Source organism: Homo sapiens, chromosome 20 (assembly GCF_000001405.40).
Source record: "Homo sapiens chromosome 20, GRCh38.p14 Primary Assembly".
NCBI lineage: Eukaryota > Metazoa > Chordata > Mammalia > Primates > Hominidae > Homo > Homo sapiens.
In genome coordinates this window covers 1,686,144-1,694,324 of record NC_000020.11, presented here as the reverse complement: position 1 = coordinate 1,694,324, position 8,181 = coordinate 1,686,144, and the positions used below count along the sequence as shown (strand labels likewise).

Here is an 8,181-nt window from a genome sequence, read left to right as displayed (position 1 = left end):
GCAGAGGCCATGGGATGGGGCTCTGGGGAGTGACTCACGACACCTCCCTAGGATGTGGGAAACACGCCAAATCTAAACACATTAGGACTCCTTGCATCCATCGCCTTGGGACTGGCCATAAACCACAGACTCTCTCTAGCCCCTCAAGAGTTATTCTGCCATCTGGATTCCTGCCTACTCCAACTTCCCAGCCTTGTTGAGGTTCACTATTGCCTCCTGAATACAAATGAACCCCCATCCCAATTTTAAGAAAAAATGATTCTCCTTCCTCTTTGTCTCACACCAAGAAAGAAAGAAGCTCTCCCTGCTTTCTCTGTGATGGGACACTAGTTCTGCTAGCATCCTGCAGCCTTCCCAGCCCTGCTGCTCGTGGCAGAAATGCTGCCACAGTCCAACATCCTGGAGTCCTCCTTGATTTCTCACTCTCTTTTTTTTATACTCTGCATTCAATTCTGCCTTTGAAATGCTTATGTCCACTTATATGAGACAGTAAATGTTTAACAATGGACTTTCTGAAAGGGAAAAACAAAAAGCTGATTTGTAGTGCTTGCCAATCTCTGTAGTATGAAAATTCCCAACATAGACAGTTTCAAGCCATCAACAGTTAAACAACCAGATTGCAAAATTCCTAAAATTTAACAATTGGCTCTCAGCTGCTCCAGCACAGCACTGAGTTACATGCCTAATTCATGCATTTCTCACCTCCACCACCCTTCCCTGTCGCAGCCAGCATCATCTCTTCTGGTAGCATTCCAATTGCCTCTACTGGCTTTCAGTTTTCAGCCACAGTGATTCTTTGGAAAAGTCTAGTTGTATACTCCTCTGCTTCTTCTCCAACACAGCTACATGGTTCCCTTCATCCCTCCTTCAACTCTTTCTGCCTAATGTCTACTAATGTAAACCACCCTGTATAAAATATCAATTTCCCTCCCTACCCTGATACTCTAATTTATCTTAACATGATGAATTTTTCCTTAGCACATATTACCATCTGTATTATTCTGAATACAGGCAGTTCTCACTTTTCATGGCAATGCAGGATTGTAAAAATGACCGTGCAACCTGAAACCTGGGAAAGCAATCTCCATATCCAATTGGAAAAACAATGATCATTCTGTGACTTTTACAATTTTTTGTCAAAATATTAGAAACAAAGTTACAAACGTAGGAGGCAATAAAAATGTAATGAAATAAACATTTATTAGTGCACTGTAATTCAAAGCATTAGAAACATTGAGAGTTCAAGTGTTTTATTGATTTGTAAAAATGTATCAAGAGTAGTTGGATCAGTGCTTGCCACCTTCTTGTGCATTTCTGATATGGAGCAAGCATTGTTTCTACCTTGGTGTTTCATCATCTTCCTAATTTTGAATTTGTTTCCAACATCTTATCCTTTGCAATTTGTTTGTTTGTTTGTTTTTTAAATTATACTTTAAGTTCTAGGATACATGTGCAGAATGTGCAGGTTTGTTACATAGGCATACATGTGCCATGGTGGTTTGCTGCACCCATCAACCCATCATCTACATTATGTATTTCTCCTAATGCTATTCCTCCCCTTGCCCCCCCACCCCCCAACAGGCCCCGGTGTGTAATGATCCCCTCCCTGCATACATGTGTTCTCATTGTTCAACTCCCACTTATAAATGAGAACATGCGGTGTTTGGTTCTCTGTTCCTGTGTTAGTTTGCTGAGAATGATGGTTTCCAGCATCACTCATGTCCGTGCAAAGGACATGAACTCATTCTTTCTTATGGCTGCATAGTATTTGATTGTGTATATGTGCCACATTTTCTTTATCCAGTCTATCATTGATGGGCATTTGGGTTGGTTCCAAGTCTTTGTTATTGTGAATAGTGCTGCAATAAACATACGTGTATGTGTCTTTATAGTAGCATGATTTATAATCCTTTGGGTATATACCCAGTAATGGGATTGCTGGGTCAAATGGTATTTCTAGTTCTAGATCCCTGAGGAATCACCACACTATCTTCCACAATGGTTGAACTAATTTACATTCCCACCAACAGTGTAAAAGCATTTCTATTTCTCCACATGCTCTCCAGCATCTGTTGTTTCCTGACTTTTTAATGATCGCCATTCTAACTAGCGTGAGATGGTATCTCATTGTGGTTTTCATTTGCATTTCTCTAATGACCAGTGATGATGAGCTTTTTTTCATATGTTTGTTGGCTGCATAAATGTCTTCTTTTGAGAAGCGTCTGTTCATATCCTTTCCCACTTTTGGTGGGGTTGTTTGTTTGTTTCTTGTAAATTTGTTTAAGTTCCTTATAGATTCTGGATATCAGCCCTTTGTCACATGGATAGATTGCAAAAATTTTCTCCAATTCTGTAGGTTACCTGTTCACTCTGATGATAGTTTCTTTTGCTGTGCAGAAGTTCTTTAGTTTAATTAGATTCCATTTGTCAATTTTGGCTTTTGTTGCAATTGCTTTGGTGTTTTAGTTATGACGTCTTTGCCCATGACTATGTCCTGAATGGTATTGCCTAGGTTTTCTTCTAGGGTTTTTATGGTTTTAGATCTTACATTTAAGTCTTTAATCCATCCTGAGTTAATTTTTGTATAAGGTGTAAGGAAGGGGTCCAGGTTCAGTTTTTTGTATATAGCTAACCAGTTTTCACAACACCATTTATTAAATAGGGAATCCTTTCCCCATTGCTTGTTTTTGTTAGGTTTGTCAAAGATCAGATGGTGTACATGTGTGGTGTTATTTCTGAGGTATCTCCCAGTCAGGAGGCATGGGGGTCAGGGACCCACTTCAGGAGGCAGTCAGCCCCTTATCAGAGCAGTGCTGTGCTGGGAGATCCGCTGGTCTCTTCAGAGCTGGCAGGCAGAAAACTTTGAGTCTCCTGAAGCTGCAACCACAGCCACAACTTCCTTCAGGTGCTCTTTCCCAGGGAGATGTGAGTTTTATCTATAAGCCCCTGACTGAGGCTGCTGCCTTTCTTTCAGAGATGCCCTGCCAAGAGAGGAGGAATCTAGAGAGGCAGTCTGGGTACAGTGGCTTTGCTGCACTGTGGTGGGTTCTGCCCAGTTCGAACTTCCTGGTGGCCACCTACTCAAGCCTCAGTAATGGCAGATGCCCCTCCGCCAACCAAGCTTGAGCATCCTAGGTCAACCTTAGTCTGCTGTGCTGGCAGCACGAATTTCAAGCCAGTGGATCTTTGCTTGCTGGGCTCCATGGGGGTGGGATCCACTGAGCTAAACCACTTGGCTCCCTGACTTCAGCCCCCTTTCCAGTCTCACTGTCATTTCAGGTGCCACTGGGGTACAAAAAAAAAAATTCCTGGAGCTAGCTCTGTGTCTGCCCAAGTGGCCGCCCAGTTTTGTACTTGAAACCCAGGGCCCTGGTGGTCTAGGCACCCAAGGGAATCTCCTGGTCTTCAGGTTGCAAAAACCATGGGAAAAGCATAGTATCTGGACCAGATAGCACTGTCCCTCACAGCATAGTCCATCACGGCTTCCCTTGGCTAGGGTAGGGAGTTCCCCAAAACCTTGTACTTCCCAGGTGAGGTGACGCCCCACCCTGCTTCTGCTTACCCTCCGTGGGCCACACCCACTGTCTAACCCGTCCCAGTGAGATGAGCTGGGTACCTCAGTTGGAAATGCAGAAATCACCCACCTTCTCTGTTGGTCTCACTGGGAGCTGCAGACTGGCACTGCTCCTATTCGACCATCTTGCCAGCTCTTCCCCTTTGTACTTTCAAAGTGGTGAAATCTCTGCAAAAGTTCCTTTCATGTGAAGATTTTTGCCTGTGTCACATTCTCTGGGAGCACTTTCTTCTCTCCCATCCCTGCATGAGACAAGACTTGGAGCTCCTTTTCCATAAACATCTGTGTAGACACTTACTGGGATGTGCCTTGCCCTAGTCATAGTGATTCCCCCTGAGGCCAAGCCCACACCACGACCCTGGTGCTAGTAATGACTTTGTGATTATAAGGCTGGACACATGACCCACACTCATCATGTGGTGGTACCTGCACATCCCCCAGCCATTGGCCAGGGTTGTTGCACTGCATCGTAAATCCTTGAGGGCAGAGAGTCTGTTTTTTAAAACTATTACTATTACCAAAATACCACCTAATAAAAATCATATCTAACTTTTGGAACACGGTCAGCTGTTATTAAGTAATTTGCATATATTAATCCATTTTACGGCCTTAACAAACCTATGAAGTTGATATGACTATTATTTCCATTTTAGGGAACTGAAGAAACAGAGATGTTAAACAAATACCCCTAGGTCACACAGCCAGGACTGGTAGAACTAAATTCAAACCTAGAAGTTCTGATTCCTAAGCCCACAAGTTTAAACTGTGCTCTTCTCAAACATCCACTGACTCCTCCCTTTTCCCACAGCCATATCTCATTATCTGCACCTTGTGTCATGAGTGCAGGGCTAAATTTCGCAGAAGGAGAATTTTAGCTTATGGTTTCCCAGGCTCCTGCTTCTCTCAAACATTCAGGCTGTAACTGTACTGCACGAAGTCAACTTAAATTTGAAACTCAATTCTCCACGTGATTTCCACAAAATTTTTTCACTCACATAGCATCTATGCATCTAATAGATCTTTATTGAAGGACTGGAGTTCACAGGAAGTCACTTTGCTGCTCCAAGTACAGATTCTGCCAAATTATTGAAACTATTCTATCAATATTTGAGTCATATATTCCAAATTATAGTTTTGGAGGTATAATATTTTGTGACTCATATCTTCCGGGTAGTTGTTACTTTCATAAAAGGAAATATTCCTCTTTCAACCATTTGTGCTTTTTGCCTTAAATTATACTTCTTAAGATATTAATATTTCTAGCACAAAATTTTGCAAAGTATGTTATGGTATTTCTTTGTTATTGCTATATTTATACATGTTTACATTACTTTGTTTGGATGTGTCTCTTTGTGCTGGGTCCTAGGAGATGGCCCCTACGTGATGACCCAGCTCACTACTTACTACTCATTTATGTATAGTCAGCTTACTCAGCTGATATGGTTTGGATCTGTATCCCCACCAAATCTCATGTAGAATTGTAATCTCCAATGTTGGAGGTGGGCCTGGTGGGAGGTGATTGGATCTTGGGTGTGGATTTCCCTCTTGGTGCTGTTCTCATGATAGTAAGCAAGTTCTCATGAGATCTGGTTGTTTAAAAGTGTGTGATACCTCCCTACTCTCCCTGTCCCTCCTGCTGTGACCATGTAAGATGAGCCTACTTCCCCTTCGCCTTCTGCCATGTTTGTAAGTTTCCTGAGACTTCCTCTGAAGCCAAGAAGGTACAAGCATCATGCTTTCTGCAGAGCCTGTGGAACAGCGAGCCGATTAAACCCCTGTTCTTTATAGATCACCCAGTCTCAGGTATTTCTGTATAGCAATGCAAGAACAAACTAATATGTCAACCTAGTTATTTTTAAAAACCTATATATATATTTAAAATCCTCTGCTTTGTTACATTGCCGAGATACCTGTTGTACTCCATGTCTACCTATTCTTGTTTTATACATGGTTGGTTTTGTTTTATGGATTTGCTTTTTTTGTTATGTTTATAGGTTATTAAATATTCTAATCTTGAACACCTTCTCATATTTTATTTTTTAACGTGTTCTCAGGTGTGAAGTTCTTTTTATTACTGTTTTATTGTTTTTAAGTTATTGTTGTTCTTGGATTGGTTAGCTATCACTTGTGGTGCTGCTGTTCCCCAAATCTTTAGTGATTTCTGCTTGCACTGCCGTCTTTGCAGGAATAATGCCCCATGTGATCTTGGGTTGTCAGGGGCTCGTGAAGCATGGCACCTGCCCCAGCCTCACTGTGGGGGCTGCTCCTAACTGAGTCTGTGGCTTCTTCACTGCTTACTTCTAGAGGGATGTCCCTCCTGTCTTATGAGAGGTGGTCATAGTGCAAACATTAAAAGTGAAGGCTGTGCAGTGTGACAGCCTATGTCTCAATCCAAAAGCTGAGTGATCTTGAGCAAACTTGCTACTCTCTGTGTGCTTCAGATTTTCTCACCTTTACATGAAGGTTAATGGTAGCACTTACCTCAGGGTCAGAGTGTTGAATTAATGAGGTAACTGACATAAAATGCCGGATACCATGTCTGGTGTCCAGGACATCTGCAAAAAATAATAGTTTCTACTATTCCTTCATGGCATATAGAGACTACTTTCTTGTTTTAAAGTGTAGACATTGATTAAGGTAATTTTATCATTTTTTATATTCGTTTCTGTGGGTATGGAGCAGGAGGTGAAGATTTCACTCTCTGTACATCTGCCACATAGAAAAAGAAATTTGGATGGAAATATGATAATTTTTATAATTTCATTTGACAATTACTTCTGAGAGATGAAGGACTTCAAACCCAGCATGTGACAGGGAGGGTTCCACACAGGCCTTTCTTAGTCATAGATGATGAAGGAGAAACCATTTCTCCTAACAGGGTAATTTTTCTAAAGCACAAGTGTCACAGGGAAGCAGTGAATGCTTGCTGTACACAACATATTAATATAGCCACCATTTTTTAGTTATAATTAATTATGAGTTGAGCATTCGGTACGGTTTATATTATTCCTACCATACCTTTACAAGGTACATGTTATAACCTCTATTTACATATAATCAAGCTAAGGCTCAGAGAACTTAGGTGTCTTGTTTAAAGTCACACAGCTCGATATTGTGAGAGAGGAATTCATTTATGCATTGACAAGAAGCAGGGTGCAGAGGATCCAGAGGAAGCAACTGATCTCAGAGTGGCAGGGATATTTCAAGTACACCATATAAGCTGGGTCTCAGGGGCCTGGAAATCTCGGAGAAAGCCACTGGTGGGAAACTCAGCCTGCAGTAGGGATCCATTCAAAAAATTTTGAGTTCCTTCTCTTCACCTGGCACCATGGTATCAATAATGACCTACTGGGTTTCAGGTATGGTACAGTCATGATCTCTTTTAACATCCACAAAAACACAGCAGTGAAAAACCTATTATTTGCAATTTGGAGAACAAAACTGAGCCTAGGAGGGCCCAGTGACTTCCTCAAATCCTTAACACATCCTCTTGGTTGGAGTATTTATTCTTCCTCTCTCCTCACCTCCAATCTAAATGCAGTGGTGGATGGAATAGGTGTTCTGTGTGCAAAACAAAGACTATTGATGTGACTGCCCCAGGAAATTGCATACCATATTCTCCCCCCATCATAACCCTATCCCCTCTCCATAACCCATAACCATAATTCCCACCTCAGCCCACAAAGCATATCCTTATTAACCTAAACCCATTTCCTCTCCTGGAGGAAGTCAGGAGATGATTCCTTCTGCTGGATGCAGACACATGAAAGTGCTGCTAAGGTCCCAGATTAGACTGAATTTGGGCTAAGTTTTGCCAGTTACATTGATAAAAGTTTGGAATAGGGAACAATTTCAGAAGCACACCTGGTTCCTCTCAAATATTGGCAGTAGCTTTTGTGAACCCTCCTCCTGCCCCGAACTGAGTAGCACTTGGTTGAGGCCTGGTGCAGAAGAAGAAAACAAGCCAGCAACATCCTAGGGTCTTGAGATGGGAAGTTTAGAAAACAGTTCTTAATCACAGGTCCTTCTTGAACTAACAGCCCCAAATGGTGAATCACCAAGAAGACCTGAAGATGGTGTTAGGGGCCATGTGGAGAGAACATATGGTCAAGGTGTGCAGGAAGCACTATTTCTGCTAAGCCTGTCTGATTCTCCTGAGAATGGAGCATGAGTAACTGTTTGCGTTGTAACTGCCTACTGTGCCTGATTTCTATTTCACTGTTGTACTCTATCATTGCCACTTCCTCTTGAATCAAGGGAGACAGTGCTTGTCTTCTCTCCTCAGAGAAGTTTGACATCTCCCCAGCACAGATATTTGGACGGAGCAGGCTCCTGAGGTCTTCAGGATACCCATCCCAGCCTCCTGGCCCCACCCTCCTGGTCCTTTCCTGCTGCTGATTCTGCTGCGGGGATGCACAGGTGAGCACTGCCTTGGGCTAGAACCCTTTCTCTCTGCTTGCAGCCCTGAAATCCCTGCCCCTGGGCTTTCAGGGATTCCAGACAAACACAAGTGCTCCCAAGGTAGGTCAAGGACTGGGCATTGTCTGAGAGCAGAAGATCAGGGAGCTGAGCACTTTCTCTGTGGATCTGCAGCTGGCTACCAAGGG

At 42.6% G+C, this 8,181-nt stretch overlaps 1 protein-coding gene across 1 annotated transcript in view; it reads left to right on the top strand.

The window, feature by feature from the left end:
- The first annotated feature begins 7,869 nt into the window (after positions 1 to 7,869).
- The window catches only part of SIRPG (signal regulatory protein gamma), a 57,304-nt gene continuing 56,992 nt past the window's right edge, over positions 7,870 to 8,181 (top strand). The window contains exon 1 of the mRNA XM_011529286.3: positions 7,870 to 7,993. The gene's annotated coding sequence lies outside the window, so the exon portion shown is untranslated. The remainder of the gene's footprint in view (positions 7,994 to 8,181) is intronic.